We start from the raw sequence: 20,893 nt of genomic DNA, 5'->3' as shown, positions 1-20,893 counted from the left end.
CTGCAAGCTCCGCCTCTCGGGTTCACGCCATTCTCCTGCCTCAGCCTCCCAAGGAGCTGGGACTACAGGCACCCGCCACCACGCCTGGCTATTTTTTTTGTATTTTTAGTAGAGATGGGGTTTCACCGTGTTAGCCAGGATGGTCTCGATCTCCTGACCTCATGATCCGCCTGCCTTGGCCTCCCAAAGTGCTGGGATTACAGGAGTGAGCCACCGTGCCCGGCCAAGAATTAGTTATATAAATAAGATCCTTCATTCTCTTCTCTCTTTAAAGAGTTATCTTATTTCATGCCAACACCTTATCAAATTTACCCTAATTATACAATTTCCTATCTCTAGGAATTTGAGTTTTATATATCCAACAACTTTAAGCATTGTTCTCTAGGAAAGTGACAGAACAAAGCAAAGTTTACTATAAATTAAATTCAAACTGTGTGAGAATATTAGCTGAAAAAAGGGGGAAAATGGTCTAAGGACATTATAAATAAGTACCCCCCCCTTTTTTTTTTTGAGATGGAGTTTCGCTCCATTGCCCAGGCTGGAGTGCAATGGCGCAATCTCAGCTCACTGCAACCTCTGCCTCCTGGGTTCAAGTGATTCTCCTGCCTCAGCCTCTCAAGTACCTGGGATTGCAGGTATGTGCCACCATGACCAGCTAATTTTTTTTTGTATTTAGTAGAGATGGGGTTTCACCATGTTGGTCAGGCTGGTCTCAAACTCCTGACCTCAGGTGACCTACCTGCCTTGGCCTCCCAAAGTGCTGGGATTACAGGCGTGAGCCACTGCACCCAGCCATAAGCACCACTTTAAAAATAATAAATTACCATCAATGTGGGTTCAAAAAAATGAATTTGATCCTTAGTGCTATCTTAACCACCACACACAAAATATACATTAACTCTAAGTCCCAAACTAGTGAACTTGTTACCTATAATTTTTTTTTTCTTTAGGCCTTTGGTAAAAGAATGCATGGGCCAGCATTTCCAAACTGTTAGTTCCATAAATGTCAATATGCATTTCTTGGATAAACGATGTTCTGCTGTTATGCAAATCAGGGAGGGCTCCTTCCTGCATGTCAATGGTACATGGGACCAGTGCTGAAATAAACTGACTCTGCCTAAAAGTAACTAAGACTACCTAAAAGTAATCTCCCAAATGTGTTTTATTAGGCTGATGCAAAAGTAACTGCAGCTTTTGCCATTACTCATTGCAAAAATCGCAATTACTTTTGCACCAACCTAATAAATGAAAATCCCCAGTTCTCACCTGCCAGAGTTTTGTTTCAGTGAATCTCTGGAGCCCAGGACTTTGTGATTATGATGCTAAATTTGGGAACTACTGCAATAACCCATCCTGGAGTGTCACAATGCACACTAGCAAATTAAAGTTTTGGGAGAAGCATGCATAAGAAAAACTTGCTTACTTCCTTTACCCGTGTTTGACAAACTGATTTGACCATAAAAACTCCCTCTGTCTTCCTCATCCCTACTCCTCTCCCATAACTATTAACATGTTTTCACTGAATACAGTTTGAAAAACACTAGTACAAGCATTCTCAGAATGTCATTTTTATATATACTTGATTAGAAATGGCAAGAGGATTGCCTGTGTTTATACTGGGTACTTTATATTCATAGCTCAGTTTTCCTTATCTCCTAAACATGCATCTACAAAACTGTATAAGAAAAAATTACTTTTAGAAGCAGATTCTCGTAATATTTCAAATCCTCAATATTATATTCTCCTTAAGGGTAGGAACTATGTCTCACCCATTTTTCTATCAGCAACACTTTGCACAGGACATAAGATGCATCAATGTTGTTGGCGCTGATGGAAGGAATATTCACACTATTATACTTACTGAACACACAGAGAGATTAAAGTAGTTTATAATGACTTTTTAAAACATGAGTTGAAGAAACAATGGTTTATTGTTGCCTTAAATCTTGGGCTACCAAAAAATGTTTGAATTCTACCACTTTGTATTTTTCCTATCATTCAGTGTTATATGAATTCTACCACTTTGTATTTTTCCCATCATTCAGTGTTGAACACATATTGTCCACTGCTTGCAACCTTGACTTATTCAAGAGTATCAACCAATTATATCCCGATCAACTTGAACAACGAAAGAAAACCACACACAAACGTAGGGGAAGACTTTTATGATATTTTACCTCTTAATTGTGAAACACGCTGATTACTCTAGGGGAAAAGATTCTTGCTTGCCATTTTATTGCCCAGTGCCTTTCATAGAGATGTCCAATAATCACCTGGGCTTTTTGTTATTGTTGTTGTTGTTGTTTAGATTGTGTATGAGTGCATGCATATAAGCAACTGATCAAAGCTCTCCCACGAGAAGGTTCCATGAGAAGAGGATGTTTGTTGTGTTTATTGCACATAGAATATGCTCCATAAATAGTTGAGAACAAATGAATGAGTGAATTCCACATTCAGCACATGGACTCTTTGCTGCACTCAGCACATGCAGTTGCAGAATCCAGCATTCGTGTCATAGGGTCTGCCTGTACCATCTACCAAAACACCCTCCTTGGCCAGTGTCTCAAAGCAAGATTTGTGCCTACCAGTTCTCCTGGTATCTTCCCCAAGCATTAAACTTCAACTTTTTAATGTTTGTGTTAATTCAGGAAAGACCTCTGGATTGGCCAGTAGTATTGAATATATTTAAGAAAAACAATGCTTTTACTCTTATGGGTATTTCAATTCCAAAAAATTATGATTCCTGTGTTCTCTGAGCAAAAATATTTATTTCCATAAGCTGGAGTTTTTCTTCAAGGAGTTTATCTCCTAGGAGTTTAGGAAGCAAAGGGGAAATAAGTAATTAGGGCTAAATAATCTGAAAAGGAGGAGGATTCTGGTGCTAGAACCATACATACTTTACAGTACAAATCTCACGGAATTAGAACTCTCCCTATTACCTCTCCCTTCTGAGTATCATTTATTTTCAAAACATACTGCCATTGCTAACCCCCAGAACTGTATGAGCTACAAAAATGAGAGAATGCTTTGAAATGACTACGTGAAAAAAGAAATTGGAGGCACAAATGGTCCTATCTTCTTTTGTGGGGGTCTTTTCCCACAGAAGAGGAAAATCACAACTTTTCCTCTTCTCCAAATAGTGTGAAGCTGATTGCTTCCTGCTTCACCACTAGGTCTCTATGGGATAGGATATCAAGGCTGCTACATCACCTGTCTATATCTCAGTCTACTCCTTTCTAGAAATCCACACTATGATATGGTGTCTCCTCTACACCATGGAGTTGGAGTCTGCAAAGTACTTTACAAAATACTTTACGAAGTACTTTACAAAATATTTTCAGAGTAAAGACATATAATTTCAGAGTGAAGACATATGATTTCTGCTAAAGAAAAAGCAACCTAGAAGTGGCAGAAGATTGAGAATAACTCCCTCCTGTCACTGTGGGCAAAGTTCCATCACAGCTGGAGACTTTTGTACTGAATAAATGCAAACAAAAAAATAACGACTATTAGCATCAAGGCACTATATTTCAAAGCTTGATAGGGCTGAGGCCACTTTGGGGAAAACTGCTCAAGACCAGCAGGTTCAGAATAATGATTACACCAGTGCCCCCACTTTGATCCTGGCCAGAACTCTTCCTTCCCCTATGTCTCCTACACATTATGTAATTCTAGGAGTTTGGAGGTAGAAAACACCTTTGTAAAAGTTATTAGTGCTAAAAAAGCACCAGGCATCACTATTTAGTCTCCGGCATACACTTACTGACAACCATGAAAAAGCCATAGATACCTGCAATAGACTTCACTCCAACCCAGCAAAGAGAACTTGATATTCAGCAATACCTTAGAGAATGGCTTTATTTATTTTTTGCACAGCCAGTTCTATACATTTCCAAAGAACAATCTTTTCTCCCTACCAAACCAACCCTGCCTCCTTCTGCAAGGCTACCTTGGCCAGCACTTTAGCCAATCCCCCTTTCTGATGCTAATGAAGTGAAAACAACCAAATCCTTTGGTTTTCAAGCAAAATTAGCAATCTGCAATCACTGAGCTGTAGTAAGTAAAACTGAAAGAACTTCCACTGGAGAAAAAATAATCTAAATATTCCTTAGAACAAAAGAATATGATTAAAAGAGAGAAAGAGTTTACATGGAATCTCCCTGTCCACATGTTTGCAGGGAGAGAAGAGAAATATTTTAATCATCCATGTCCTGGTTTTCTTCATTCATTCATTCATTCAGTCTTTCCTTTATTTTTAATTCTGACAGCTGCACTCAAAATAATTCTTGCCTGTAGCCTTGAGTAACCAGGATACTCAAAATTTTGGCCATATTGCAATGAGTCTAATAACATGTCAAGATTCAGAATCATCAGTCCTGAAGTCCCCAAATCCTCATCTGCCACCTCCTTGGTGGCACAGCCAATATGTTCCATGATTGGTTATTCCTTCTTTGTTGAAATGAAACCATGGGTCTCCGTTTTCCCAAAAAGGCTGGCTCCAAAGTGGAGAAAGATTGGAATGTGGAAAATCATTGACTGAAAGCTACAATGTGGCTATTAAATAGTTTACTGAGCTCAATACCCAGCAGCTAAAGGTCTCACAGACCTTCCCTAAACCAGACCTAGGATCTAAATAGAGTTGATTGAAATAGAATGATTCCAAAGTGTGATTTAATCATTTTTTTTTCCTCAACACAAAGAAAAGGTGGGCATCATGCAATTCCAGCAGCAATTTATTCTTGTATGCATTTTTCAGCTTAATTTTGCTGACATATTAGAAAATAGATAGACAATTTGGCTGTATAATTTGCCAAGACTAACGGAAGCAGTCAATTGTAGAGTACTCAAGAGGTAATCCATCTCCAATTCAACTTGTTAAGCATGGATAGCTGGGGGTATATTTTTGGCATGCCATTAGGAGAACCATTGTCAATACAAAAACAGACTCGTAGATTAGTTTTTTTTAATCAAAGCAACTGTTAAATATGCATTTTGTATATATTTCTTCAACAACCAACAGTTATACTCCTGCCAACAAGCATGTTATCTTAGGGCACAGATTGCGTCTGAGTACTGAAATCTCACTCCTTTTCAGTGAAAGGAAACCTTCTGTATTTACTGCGCTTCAAGTGGAGTGTCTTTTTTACACTTCCAAAGTAAGCTGGTCCCCCTATTTCTCTTTTTATCCCTAGTTCTGCTTGGCTCAAGGCATGTCAGAGCTGTAGACTCCACAGAGGACCTGGGTGATATTTGAGCCTAGTATTTTCTATTCATTTTTTACTTTTGAATCCTTTTTTTCACCAAAACATATAATCACTGGAAATCCCTTAGGAAATCTTTTAATGATTTCATCATTTTTGCATGGTATATAAGAGATTTAAAATAAAGCATTTCACTTGAGATCAATGCATTATTAAAGATTTTATCAGAAAGTTCATTTAATACAATTTTAATAATATTCATTATGTATGAAGACAAATTTCAACCTTTCCCCTTTGAATAAGTAATATATGCTGTTCAATTTACTTTAAATTTATTTTATTTAAAAATTATGATTGGATCAGGCATGGTGGCTCACGTCTATAATCCTGGCACTTTGGGAGGCCAAGGTGGGTGGATCACTTGAGACCGGAAGTTTGACACCAGCCTGGGCAACATGGAGAAACCCTGTCTCTATGAAAAACAAAAATTATCCAGGTGTGGTGATGCATGTCTGTAGTCCCCGCTACTCGGGAGGCTGAGGCGGGAGGATCACTTGAGCCTAAAAGGCAGTGGTTGCAATGAGCTGATATCGTGCCACTGCACTCCAGCCTGGGCAACACAGTCTCTCTCTCTCTCTCTCTCTCTCTCTCTCTCTCTCTCTCTCTATATATATATATATATATATATATATATATATACACACACACACACACACACACACATATATATACACACACACACTGAGGTTTGACTAACCAATATTGTGTTAACAGTAAACTTTGTGACCTTATAGTGGAATGTTTGCATCATGTCCTCAAAAAACTTACTTTTGTTTTGTAATTTTCATGGTTTCAGGCTTTGATTTGCAAGTGTCTCTCAACAAATAACCATAGAGTGAGTATGAATAATTTTTAATCTCAGTAAATAAAGAGCCAAATTGGATCTAGTAGGCACTGTTTTTTACATTTTTAACACCTGATGTGCTATAGAAGGACCCTGATCATGTCAGCTTGAAGATCTGCTTAGGAAAATCTCAAGGTTATTCACAGGATTATCATTTTTATTCTCCTTGCCAACTTGTTTGTGTATTTCAGTATCAATGTTTCTTATGTTTCCTCTCTTCAACCAGAAGCCCGTGAAGGTTGTAATTAAACTGCTGTATGTATATTTAGGAGTAAAAAAGTCTTGAGCTGACATACCCAGGTACCATGCCACATACCCAAGGCACCATGCTACACACCCAAGCAGCCAAGTTCAAAGCATGATCATGTGACCTTCCCTCACTATCACTGCTGTGCCCAGAAAGGTTTCAAATGGTTCTACTTTAAAAGGAAAAGTTCTAGTGAAGGAGTGGGAGGAGAGCTCCACTTGGCAACTGAGGGTAAAAAAGCTTGGCCCTGTAGTTTGCAAGATAACACAGCTAAAAACGAGCCTTAGGACAACTCCAGGGTCCCAATTCTGGCTTCAAACTCAGGTCTTGGGACATTCAGTTCCCTAGAGAATTTCTGCAAAGTTCTGGAAGGCAAGTTCAGTGGTGAAATAAACATTAGCCCAGCAGGAAGTGGCAAGAGGATACTCAGAGTACTGGCAGCCTGTAACTGCTTGTGGCCAAAAGTCAGAACCCTGAGGAGAATCAGAAACAAAAACCCAAACTCCAATTTCCAGACCCACAATAAGCAGACAATAAAAGCAAACAAAAAAGCCTACAGTATATACTTACCCCTCTACTGCTTCGGGAGATTAAAATTCTCTTTCCCTTCTACCAAACCAGTCCAGCATTTTCCTTGTTTCATGCAATGAGGGGCTTCATATGTTTTTTTACAAATGTAAAAATTATCAAATTTGTATTTGTTTAAGTTGCATACCTGAAGAAATACATCTCCATGTTCTCATCTGAACCTTAGAATCTGTTAAAAATCAAATGATCCAATGACCTTAATTATTAATTAGCCAAAACCACAAAACTTCATTCCTAGGATTGGACCAAGTATCTAATCATCTTTTGTAGTCTTCACTTTTGAGAATGTCACACAACTTTCCCTGAAGTTTGAAGGTTTGATAAATGGTTTTTCTGAGGCAGTTCTATAGAGTCATTGAAAAAATATACAGTAGGAGAAAACAGGCTAAGTTGACCACATTCATAACAAACAATGCTACAGCATGCAAAATATCCTTGGCACTTAGCCTCTGAGAATTTTATCATATCAAAATCCATACAGTCAGTTCTGCTCCAGTAGAATGTATGTGTTGCTGAAATTCTTTGTGCTCTGCAAAATCGCACAGTAAAAACCAAGTGGCTTACTGGAAAAATTAGGTTTGAGGCCGGGTGCGGTGGCCCATGCCTGTCATCCCAGCACTTTGGGAGGCCGAGGTCGGCAGATCACTAGGTCAGGAGTTCAAGACCGGCCTGACCAACATGGTGAAACCCCGTCTCTACTAAAAATACAAAAATTAGCCAGGCATGTTGGCGCATGCCTGTAATCCAAGCTACTCAGGAGGCTGAGGCAGGAGAACTGCTTGAACCCAGGAGGCGGAGGTTGCAGTGAGCCAAGATTGCACCACTGCACTCTAGCCTGGGCGACAGGGTGAGAGTCTGTCTCAAAACGAAACAAAACAAAACAAAACAAAAAATGGGTTTGAGGTACAACAATCAAAAACATTGTCAGTAACACATTAAAAAGAAGCAGAAACATAATAAAAATGGTAGCACAGTTTTATATGTGTTAAATTGTTGAGAAATATACAAATACAACAATAAACATGGCATATTATCACATTAAAAAACTGGGATTTACTGTGGAAGTGAATGTGGTTAAGGAATGAGGCTTGTGGGTTATTGTGAAGTGGTGGAAGAAGGGCATTCTGAAATCAGACAGAAAGTTGGTAGTCCCAGATGTGGATGGGTGGGGCTCCTAAAACATGGGTGCATTTTTGGTTTTCCTATGTGGCATTCAGCTGGCTACAGTTTCTGCATTTACCTAGTGTTTCTCTGGGAGGAAATCACACATAAGCAAATACAGCATTTGTTTTATGCTTGTCTTGAATATATCAATTGCTTTGGAACAAATTTGCCTTTTCAAAACAAGTGTGATAGCAGAACTGACTTTACTAAGAATTGATTATAGTCATAAAGATTAAAATTTAGAGATTAGAAAGCTGGGAAGTACTTAAAGAACAGCTATCATAATTCAAGTCCTCATATTACAGATAATATTAAGATATCAGCATGTTGTTTGAGTTTTGTTTTGTTTTGTTTTCCCCAGAATTTGCCCGTATAGCTTCAGGGAAACTAACAAATTTTCAAGACCCAGTCTAAACTAGCGAAGGTACCAAAGGAAAGACGCTTTGATGGGAAAAACAAGCACTTAGGTCACAGCCCAGTTCCAGGTCCATGGATATGGTTTTGCATCCGACATGTATGGATCTAGGTGCTTCAAGAGTTGTTTGGGAAACCCATATTATTATCCAAGAAGCACGCTCCTACTGGCTCAAGTGACAAGATACACCTAAAATATACTCACAAAAAGAGAATGTTTTCAATTTGCTGGGTTCTCTCCATATATCACTTTGAGGTTTGTGAGAGCCCTAGGACTAATGTTCACAGTCATTTCTAGGACAGCTGTTTACTAGTATTACTGATACAGAAGTCACTATTTGTTTTGTGTGGTGCAAAATGATTAGCGGGACCTATTAGCCTTTTAAGGGTGATTCATCTACTTTCAGAGGCTTGGAAACCTCTGCAAAAGAAGCCCCATTTTCCTTAATATACATGTAGGAAGAATAGAGGGAGGGAATTTCCCTTCTCCAAATTCAACTAAAGAGGAAGCAGAAAAGATTTTGCAATGCACTTATCCACTGTCCTGTCAGACTACTGCGAAAACATTTCACTGTGTAACATTCTGTGACTATTACTAAACAACTCCCATATACCAAGCACTAATGAAGACTACAGAATCACGAATTCCTGTAGGCAGTAGCTGGAGCCTGCATTATTCAAACACTCCACAAGGGAGTCCTTTGAATACGCCCAGGTTGAGAGTCACTGATTTTGTACCTGAAAAGGTATCCTAAGACTGTTATGCTTTATGTAAGGGATATATACAGTTGACATTTTAAGTAACAAAGTTCGAAAACTTGGAAGAGAAGAAAAATTGATTATGAAGGCGAAGTATTTGTTTTTTTTTTCCTTGTTTATTTTTACTCAATGTAGATGATTGGGATAAAATGTGGAAGGGGAAATGTTTAAGGTTTTCATGGGTATGTAGGAGCCACACTGGGCCATCTCCTTTTGATTTTGAAAAGAAGATAAAGCCCTCCTGCTGACACATTAAACCAGGGGAGACTGAATGACAAAGACACTGGACAGTGAGGGACTGGGATGAGGGTTAGGTGTGGGAGAGACACCAGCTTTAAATCTGGGCCCTACTCTACCTATTCAACCTCCAGCAGTCTTGACAGAAACCTTTGAGCCAAGGTCAAGAAAATTACAGTCTTCTCTTTTACTGATAGTGTCCTCCTTTCACCCAGATTGCTTCTTGTCTCTTCTCAAAGTCTAACATGAAAGAAACCCAGTTTGTTTTGCTGATATCCCTAGGTTGTTTAAGTGGATGCATCAATATTTCCTTTTGAAGAAAACACTTCCCACATGCTCTTTGGAGCAAATTCTATAACGTAATAAATAAAATAAGGTGACTTAAATTGGGTATCCCAACATATACCTTTCCTTCATTTATGGCTCATGAGACAGAGTGATAAATAGAGATAGACTGTAACACACATCACAAGTGTTGTACAGCAGCCATAAAGAAAATATCATTAAAGGGATCTCCGTCCCCAATAAAATACATCCTATGCTACTACCAAACGGTCCTTGTAAATCACTAGTGCTTAAGAAAATAAGACGTAATCATTTTTTTCAATAAAGCTCAGTTGGTTTCCAACTGCATAAATTCCATAGTGATGGGCAATCTGTTTTTGAAATGATTCTTAACCAAAGGTACATTTTTCCGAGAGATAACAATCAACTGATAGTCTAGTTTTAATTACTTTAAGTAGGACAGATTAAAAGCATAACCTTAAGATATATACATATATGTGTGTGTGTATATGTACACATATATGTGTGTGTATATATATGTGTATGTATATATATACATATATGTGTATATATATACATACACATATAAGACTGAGATTCCATCTCAAAAAAAGTTTTTTAAATAAAAATTTAAAAATAAAAGTAAAAAGAATGGAAAAAAATCTGGTTGTACCCTACGCTCAAAACATCTCTGGTCTTGCAAGACAGTTGCTTGGTGGCATCAGATGATTTCCAATAGCTATTACCTAAATTTATCCATGAAACTACTCGTCATGATACAGAAAAAATGCTTAGCATGTCAAATAAATATTGTCGTGGAAACTTTAAAAAGGTTATTTTCAGGTCATGTGTTACCCGTCAACTACAGAAACTTATATGTGTATATACATGTATATACATATACAAACATACACATATATATATACACACACACGTATATACACACATACTTTTCAGGTAATGAATACACTAAAAGCTGACAGTTCACCAATACACATTATATCCATGTAACAAAACTACACTTGCATCTCTTAAATTTATACAAATAAAAAATTTATATAGTTTTCTAAGTACTTACTACTAAGATTCTTTTGCTAAAATTCTTATTACTAAGATTCTTTTGCCTGTGGTTCAGTACATATTTCAATTCTGCACAGACACAAAACTTTCCTCTAAGTATACAGAAAACAAGAAGCATAATTAGTAATGTATATTTATCAACATGTGTATTCCCACACTACAGTAACTGACCAATTAATGTAAATGTTACTATTGTACTTCATTTAAATAGTCTCTAACTTTCCTCACTCTGATTACTAAATAAAATGCACTGTAATTTTCAATCGGTAAAAATGCAATCTGTTAAAGTAAAATATTCTTATCTTGGGATAAGATCACAACTCCTATTCCCACAGTTTACAGAAATCATTGAAAAGATTGACTACACATACACTACATTTCTTTACTAGTCCAGGAAAAGTTTTAAATTAAAATAAACATCATGAATCAAAGGGTGTTTTTTGTTGTTTTTCTTTGAAAACAAGTGAATAGACATTCCACCAATAGTCAAAAAATTGCCAAGGTTATTTTTCCTTCACATATTAAAAAAAAAAAAACAGAGATCTAACAGGAGAAGCTACAGAAGTCGAGCACTAACTCTCATTCCAATCTTCCCTCAAGAGCCAATTAGTTGGAAGCCTTAGAAAGAGAACAATGTACCAATTCTTTGCAGCAACAAATTACAGAAGCCCTTACCTTTTAGTCAGAGTAAGTGACAGATAACCAGCATAATAAACTCAGCAGGCATGCCCGCCATGCACATTTCTCAGTGGGCTCCTCCTGCAGTACCCAAAGAACTGTGCATCAAAACTCCAGCCTGTCTGATCCATCCTTCATTCACTGTCTGAGATACCAGCTACCAGGGTAACAAGAAGGGCCTCACGAAGTGGCAATCTCAGTTTCTTAAAAACCTTTGTCCTGAAGAAGAGAGGAGAAAAGGGAAGGGGTGGGAAAGAAACAGGGAGAGGAGCAGAATAATTACTTTCCCGAAGGTGAAGTGTTTGCCATAAACTAAATGCACAGCAACCAGCGTTTTAAGTTTGAACGATCCTACTTGCAAGCTCCTGAAGAATCTGCCCTACCTCTGCCTCTTAGGAGAAAAGTGTGTGTGTGTGTGTGTGTGTGTGTGTGTGTGTGCATGCGTGTGTGTAAAAGAGTGCGAGAGTGCAAGCACCAATGTATGGACAGGGAAGGGAAGGAGAGATGGCTGGAGAAGTGAGGGGGAGGGCTGGGGGGAGAGCTCTAGGATGTGACCCACATATGGAATGAGCATTAGAACAATGAGGACAGGACCGCCAAGCCGGTGCACTCTGGGGCAGCAGTTTTCAAAACAAGGCTTCACAGCTTTGCAGGAAAGGGGGGTGTGGGGAAACATAACACAAAACAAGCTAATTGAAATAAGCAACTGGATACAAAACGAGCTGGCCAAATCACCAGTAATCAGCAATCGGGACATGGTGGGCTCCTGGATTTCATTTTTATGCAGCCTGTGGGTTTATTCCCCTCCTTACTAGAAAGCTTTTGGTCCCGGGGGCGTAGAATTCCAGAGGACCCAATTAACACCATACTTGGCTAGTTCCCTGGTATGATCAATATGAAATAAGCTGCCTTTTAGCATCTCCATAAAACAAAACAGCCTGGAAACTGGGTCTGCTATTTTTTTTTTATTTCCTTTGTAGACTGACAGCCAAATTGGGAGGGTGGGGCAGAGAAGCCACACACATTTAAGACATTAAGAAAGGATACAGAGGGCATGACTTGGCTGAACATATTTAAGAACATTAGGTCTAATAAAGTTTTGAAGTCAATTAAATAATCTCTTCTGTATCCTCAGATATTTGATGACCAGAGGGCTGTTCCACACATGAGGTTTTCTGGGCTTAACTCACAAGGGGCTCTAATGATTGCTAGGTTCTTCATAACACAATTCTAGTGTTTTGGCAAATGATTGACTCATATACATGTTAGCTAACCTGTGGTAAACAGGACTTAGTTTGCACAATAACTTTCATAGTAAGTCTTCCTTAAAAATAGTATTTTTTTCTCTGGTTTTGATTTCATTTCACAATCAAACAACTGGTTTTCTTCATAGCCCAGAGATAAAACAACATCCAAAGCAGTATTGGTATATTTCAGCATTTCATTAATTAAAAAAAGAAACCATTCTCATGTGAGGCTTTCCCAACAAACTCTTCATTCACTAATATTTTATTCCTAGTGCAACTAGTTTAATTTGTAATTTCAAACAACTTCTACATTCTGTTCTCTGCTTACTCTGAAAACACAGATAATCAAACAACCTGTGAAAGAAAGAGATGGCAATAAAACTTTCCAAAAAGCACACGCATTCATGTGGCACATGCACACACACTCACATACACACACACTCCTGTGAAAACCTGGAAGACAACTTCAAAGTGAGTGCCATGTTTCTTATATTGTACTACTAATCCTCTGATTTCAGAATTGTGTGACCAGGAAAAAATGTTGCTGTTAAGTTCAGGGCTACTAGAGCTAGGTTTACATCTGGTTAAAAGAAAAAAAAAATCCCTCTGATAAAATTACTAAAGATCAAATTTCCATAAGAATAAGCTCAATAAAAATGTTCATAAAGAAAGAGATTACTAATTCCCATGTGGTACTAAAGGTTATAAAGAGTTAAATCACAGCATATGAAAACCTGTGTTTAAATAATTTTTAGGCAATGACACAAGCTGAGGAGGGAAATAAAATTAATAAGTGACAGGAATGAGGGGCTGTCAGCACCAACTCCAAATTTCATGCTCCTTGGCTTGATCCTGTATTTTATTTAACACAGATTTCTACATATGCAAAATTTGCCTCTTCTTGTGAGGTCTTGTACAAGGTTGAAGAACCTTGGGCTGTGAGCTTATCTGAGAGATACAATGAAGCGGGATGAACTGGTGGCAGGGGCTGGGAGCAATGGTTCCAAGTATTAGATGCTGTTTACAGCTGCAGCTTCAAGGCAAAGTCTAAGCAATGACACTTCCAAGTAACCAAAGGGTATTCCTCTGGACAGTGATCTTGTGGATGAGGCAAATCTGATCTTCTGACTAAATGTGCTCAATTTCAGTCTGCATACAAGAATGCTTTCCATTTGCATTTACTTTTGTTTCATTTGATTGCATGTCTGCCTAGCCAGGTAGTGAGCCAAATTAAACAAAGGAAAACTTTTGAAATATTCTATTCCAGCTTCAACATGATGTTGTTTTCTTCTGTGCTGTTTTGAAAATGAGCCAGGATGTAAACGGGCTGTGTTATCTTGTATGGAACTGCCTCAGGCAAAGTATTCCCATTAAGCAGGAACAGATCCAGGTATGGGGTGGGGGTGGGGGCCTGAAGCTGATTCCATGTGGAGGACTCCCTTTAAGTATATAACTTTATGAATTCATACTTAAGTGGAAAGCCAGGCACAGTGGCTCATGTCTGTAATCTCAGCACTTTGGGAGGCTGAGGTTGGAGGATAACTTGACCCCAAGAGTTGGAGATCAGCCTGGGCAACATAGAGAAACTGTCTCTACTACAAATAAAATTAAAAAAAAAATAGCCGGACATGGTGGCACAGGTCTGTAGTCCCAGCTACTCAGGAGGCTAAGGAGGCAGAATCACTTAAGCCCAGGAATCTGAAAATGCAGTGAGCTATGATCACACCACTGCCTTCCAGCAGTGCAAGGGCAATAGAGCAAGACTCATCTCAAATTTATATATATATAATTTATATATATATAATTTATTTATATATATATTTATATATATTTATATATAAATATATATATAATATATAAATATATATATTTATGAGCCTCTTCCAAGGCTCTTCCAAGGCTCTCCACTTTATATATATATAATATATATAATATATATAATATAAATATAATATAAATATATAATATAAATATATAATATATATAATATAAATATATATAATATATAATATAAATATATATAACATATATAATATAAATATATATAACATATATAATATAAATATATATAACATATATAATATAAATATATATATAAGTTTATATATATATAAAGTGGAGAGCCTTGGAAAAAGCTCATGGGGGGAAGGGTACTAAAACTGAAGCTACAAAAACTTTACAGTAAATAGGCCTCTACTTTCACTAGGACTCTACTAAGAGCACCACTATGGACTCTACTAAGAGCACCCCCAGTATTCCACAGTAGATTTGTGAATATATTTTCTCATTGGTAGTAATGGGAGGAGATAGTCACCTAGAGAAGCTAAAAACATTTAGTCTAAATATTGAAGTAAAATGATACCAGCAAAGGGAAATCTATCACAGGCTTTCATTTTCTTAGAAGGGTAACTAGCTATACATAGACAGGGCATGAAGGAGTTAATGAATCCATTAATTCAATAAAGCATAATATCTCCTAAAAAGACATTTGCTTTTTAAAAATAATTTCAAATTTACAAAAAAAACTGAAAGTTGAAAAATTTGTTCAAAGAGTTTCCACATACCCTTTACTCAGCTTTTCCAGATATTAACATTTTACGTAACTACATAACAATGATAGGAAATTAACATTGATACTATAATCTTAACTAGTTAACAGACTACTCAATTTTACCAATTGTTCCATTTATGTCCTTCTGCTGGTCTAGAATTCAATTCAGGAACTCACACTGAATTTAGATGCCATTTCTACTAAGTCCCCTCCAATCCGGGACATTTCCTTAGTCTGTCTTTGTCTTCCGTGACCTTGACATTTGAAGAGTATTAGCTGGCAATTTTGCAGACTGACTTTCTATTTGGGTTTATCTGATATCACCTCACTATTAGTTTGTGGTGTGCATTTTGGGACGAATACCATAGAAGTGATGTTCTTTCACCTGTATCATATCAAGAGGTATACAATATTGATATGTATTAGTGCTGATGATACTAACTTTGATCACTTGTTTAAGCTGGTGTTTGCTAGGTTTTCCACCTTAAAACCACTATTTTCTCCTTTTAGCTTATAAATTTCTTGTGGGGAGATACTTTGGGACTAAGTAAATATCCTGTTTCATCATACTTTTCACCTACTATTTTCAGCATCCATTGATGATTCTTGCTTGCAACAATTATTGCCGTGGTGTTTACCAAATGGTGCTTTTCCATTTCCCATCTTTTCTTCTACATTTATTAACTAGAATTCTACGGTAAGGAGGGTGTGTACCTTCTAGAATAGGGACTTTTAAAAGAAAAACAACTATGAAAATTGAATTACTCTGAAACCAACATAGCTGGTTTATCTATAAAATAAGACCTCTCAGTGCCACCTATTTTTTGAGAATGTGAAAACTCCAAGGTCTTCCCTTTCAACCTTCTGCTGGCATTTCAAGATTCTTCAGCAGATCTACTGCAACAAAGGGGAGGGCAGAAGCAAAGAGAGGACTGAGAAATGGCATCAGCTTCCCAACAGCAACTATGGCTTATAATGAGAGAACTTTGAAGCAAATGGGTGACTTTTGTTACAAATGTCTATTAAGGAGACATATCCAGCAGGTCTCATTTATGTCCTTGTTCTGGTCCAGAATTGAATTCAGAAAGAATTTAGCATTTAGTTTTCATGCCTGGGTTGGTCTGACCCATTTAAAGGATCATCCTCACCCAGCATGATGCAACTGTCCCTCCCAAAAGGACCCATAGGATGGTCCACAATCCAGACCTCACACCTGCTTACCACCAGCTCCCCATTTATTCTTGGACCCCATGCCTGTGCTTCATTTGTGCCCTGTCTCACCTCACCTCCTCCAGGTCAATGCAGGATCTAGTTTCGTGAATTCCAGGTGTAAGTTGTCCTCTTAACTTTCACACATCAAAGAATGCCCTTCCAGTTAGAACAGGACCCAGAGACCAGTCATTTTTGCCTCTTCACATCTACAAACAACTGACAGACAACTGCAGAGGTGGTTTGAGTATAAGCTATTAGACCGAAATTTGTCATGCAAATCACATGAATGCCAATAAACTCAAGCAAGAGGAGATTCTGTGAGAGGAAGGATGAGTATTCATTCCAGAGGAGATGACCACACTGCTACCAAAACAGGGGCTTTCCCAACTCCCAACTAATGGACAAGTCTTCATCAGTTATCCCTCCCTGAAACTGTAAAGCAGCTGCTAGCCCTGATGTTTATACCTGTATCAATCAGACCCTGCCATAAAGAGCAAGGGGAAGACTAAGAAGCAATACATTGAGTCAATTACTTCCCAGAGAAACCACTCCAGGAAGTAAGATGCAGACCCAGGAGGAACCCTGATGCATTATGCAGAATGAAAGCTGGAGGCCACAAAGGAGCCACCTAAAGCCCTTCCTAAGCACTCATGGAGAGGTGTACTGAGGCACACTCCTCAGAGGACCAGAAATCCACTGGACAGGATTAAGAGGGAAAAAGTCTTGTAATGGAAAGGTTACACAGTAGATTGAAAACTGCATTACACAGTTTCCAGATACATATTCTAAAACTCCTTTTTCAAACCGTTAAAATATCAAACAGAATATGTTGTCAAATCTCATGGGCCATCAACTGAAATCTTTTTGTAACCACACAATTGCGAAAAAAAGGTTCTGCACTTATTACTATCAGAATCTAAAACCCTCTAAACTACATTTGAATAGGCAGTCAACACTTTCTCAAGGTTTGCAATGTCAGCTGCTAAATTTTCATCCAAAATGAAATGATCAGGTGGTGAGGCGAATCTAACCCACCTCTTTTATAACACCATTGTTCCTCTGACTAGCCATCCCAAGCTACAAACATTTCACAAAGGAAAAAATTTAAAAGATAGTTCAGCACCTAAGCTGTGCTCCTGGAACTTTAAGCTACAACAATACATTTATTGCTCTTAAGTTCATTTTTATGGCCAGAATCTCAAAGACCTTCTAGACTCAAGAAGAGCTAAATACTGAAGCAATGCCTGACACTTGGTTGAAAGTGCAGGACTCGACTCCTCAAATCCTTAAGTGATCAAGACTGGATTAGTCAGTCTTTCAATGTGTTACATATCTAGGTTGTACTTTTAAGAGTCAGAAACTGTATGTTTTCTGATCTGAACCTTCTAAAATTATAAGACATTCACAGCCTCAAGAGCTGCTAGATATTGTGATGGGAATTTCCTTCCTGACAAATGAGAAAATAATGCTTATCATGTGCAATAGAGGGGAAATGGAAGAGAAGCAATGCAACAAAATTTAAAAACTAGTGCCAATAAAGCGATCCTAAATGGTACCTCCAAATTTAAAAATAAATTCCTTGGGAAAATGGTTTCCCAAGGAAATTTTGGAAAAATTAAAAGTTTTCCTTGAGTTTATGAATGAGCACAGATTTAAAACTGTAAAATTGTACAGAGGCTTTCAACCCTCCTCATTAATTGTATCAACCAAACATCCATGGATACATCACTATTTAGTGCCTACTTCGGTAGATGCTAAACATCTTTGATTCACACCGCAAAAAACTCTAATGAGGTCGGAGCAGGCCCCTGTGACTCATACCCTGAATAGTGCTACCAACCTATTTTTCCACAGGCACCCGCTCTGTTCATTAGCTATGCACTAAAATAGAAGATGACAAAGCCTGAATCTGTGCTTATTTCCACAGTTGTTATTAAGTAAATACCATTTTGGTGAATAAAATTAAACTAAACCCACATACATGAAATGACTTATTTCCCTTCCTTGAAATCTTATTAACATAACACTACCAGAAAATTAATCAACACCATACAATTGTTAAATGATTAATAAAAACAGTGATTATAATAATTCCAAATTGAGAGTACTTCTCATTCAAAGTAGGACTATGAGTTCTGTTTGGATTTTTCTGCCAGTATGAAAAAAAAATGTTTATAAATGCAGAAACTGTTTGTAAATGCATCGCCTTCTATGCCACTATAGAGGTTAGATAATATTCCACAAATGGGTGATTTCTACCAATGGGTTTTAGCAATTTTTTCTTCTTTTCCCTAAATTAAACTTAATATACAAATAAATGGTGCCAAGGCTGAAAGAAAAAAAAAATTAGGAAATAAAACAACCTTTTGAATGGCAAGCTTAACATGAGAAAAAAAGGAAAGGTAGATAATTACAATTTATATCGACACAATAAACTGCCAGTTTTTCAGCTGACTAAATGCTAGTCTAGCTCATTATGTAGCCATGTTACAGAAAAAAAAAGCCTATTTTTTCCTTAGAACTTCGGTTTCTGTAATGTAAAACCACCGGGAGGTTTGAATATTATTACCTAGCAGTATTTTAAAACATTACAAAGAAATACTTTACATCTTTTCTTAGGCCATTTCTAGCACCTACACTAATAATCTCCAATCAAAACAAGGCAACCATGTGCTCCTTATGGTGGAGTAGGTCATATACCATAACCATGAGTATGTATATACATATTTACCATGTGAATGTATATGTGTGTGTGAGTGTGTGTGTGTGTATCTGCATGCATGTATGCATACACATTTTCATCCCTGAAGCAGAGTTTCAGCAGTTAACCCCTTCCTTGCCCTTTCATTAGTATGATGTCAGTAGAATTCTGGGACATTCTGAAGAGTTAGGTTGTATACCGAATGATTCAGGGCCCCTCAAAGCCCTTTGGAAAGAGGTGAGGAATCGTATGGATTCTTGTGCTTACAGTTGCACCTAAACAAACAACAAACAACAGCAACAACACTCTAGACCCACTATGAGGCACACAAGATGATCTAGTTTGGACATTTGATCCTTCAATAATTGAGACCCTCTATTCCCCTGGAATAACTGTGAAACAAATTGCAAGCTCACTCAGAATAAAGGAACAATAATAATAATGTAACTGGCTGTTGTGATCCCCAAAGTTGAGACTAATGGGTATAAGTGTCCCCAATAAAGAGTGGTGCTGCACTTGTCATCTAGCAAAGCTGGCTCTGCCCCCATTTGCCATTCCCCAGACAACATAGAAAAAGATAATCAAAGTGTAAAGGTGACTTGTTGACAGAGAGCTATGGGCCCAGAAATAAGGCATTCTGTTCCATCCCCCTCCCTCCTAACGGAAGGGGCAGCAGATCCTACAGAGGAAGGGAGAGAAATGCTGCCCCAGCCACCTCCATCCCAGTGAGCAGGGCCCTCTGCACTCAAGTGGTGGAAGCTCTAGGGCTTCCCAATCACAAGCTTATCCACTGTAGTGCCCTTTCTTTTTCGCCACCTATCTATCCTCTTCCTTCAACTGTATGTCCTTACTACATTTGGAAATGTCAGCAATCATGAAGAAGAGAAAAACCAACTGGGCTCTCTTCCCTTTCAAATGTAACCCCTATGTGAGTGTAGCCCAGCTGACTATCTAGATGAAGACAAACAGCTGAGAAAGAGGAGATCAGAAGCCAAAGTCTGACCCCATGCTGCCCGTCACCAAAAGCACATGAGGAGAGGCCTCAGGCCCCCATAATTGAGAAAGAGCTCATTTTCTGTGCAGCATCTGCTGAGAAAAACTCCATGAAAGGTCAGTGGCACCAAGCCAAATGTGGAAGAAGTTAAATGCCACCCTGCTGCCATTATCTTCAAGGTACCAGAACAACGAAACAATCCCAGAGAGAGAAGAAAACACTATGAAAAACTTTGAAGAGCTCATTTTTTAAAATAATATAAAGGTGTGTTAGACCGGAAATACCAGAAACTAAATGTCATGCATGTATTTGACAAATATATACTGAAGGTTTTTTACTATGAGCCATGTGCTATTCTAGCTGCAGCTAATACAGCAGTGAATGAGACAGACAATATCTCTACTCAGGGGGCTTGCATTTAGTGGCAACAGACAAAAACAAATATGAAATTTCACATAGCGACATATGCCATGAAGACAGCATACCTTGACAAACTGATCAAGAGAGACTTAGACAAAGAGAAGGGTCTATTTTAGATAAGATTGTTAAGGAAGGCCTCTCTGAAAGCAAGTCATTAATTAAAAGATCTGCTGAAAAAGTATTCCAGACAGAGGAAACAGTAATTGCAGTC

General features: G+C 38.0%; 1 protein-coding gene across 10 annotated transcripts in view; it reads right to left on the bottom strand.

Annotated features, from left to right (window-relative positions):
- Window positions 1–20,893, bottom strand: part of FAT3 (FAT atypical cadherin 3) — a 671,656-nt gene that overhangs the window by 575,094 nt on the left and 75,669 nt on the right. Inside the window, exon 2 of one of the 10 annotated variants that reach the window (XM_017017179.3) lies at window positions 11,555–11,776. The exons of 8 other annotated variants lie outside the window; for them this stretch is intronic. The gene's annotated coding sequence lies outside the window, so the exon portion shown is untranslated. Of the gene's footprint in view, window positions 1–11,554; window positions 12,076–20,893 lie in introns of those variants that run through there. One more of the 10 variants, XM_047426353.1, reaches the window with a different exon arrangement.

The sequence above is a fragment of the Homo sapiens genome, chromosome 11 (genome assembly GCF_000001405.40).
Source record: "Homo sapiens chromosome 11, GRCh38.p14 Primary Assembly".
NCBI lineage: Eukaryota > Metazoa > Chordata > Mammalia > Primates > Hominidae > Homo > Homo sapiens.
This window is presented reverse-complemented; position numbering and strand designations above follow the sequence as displayed.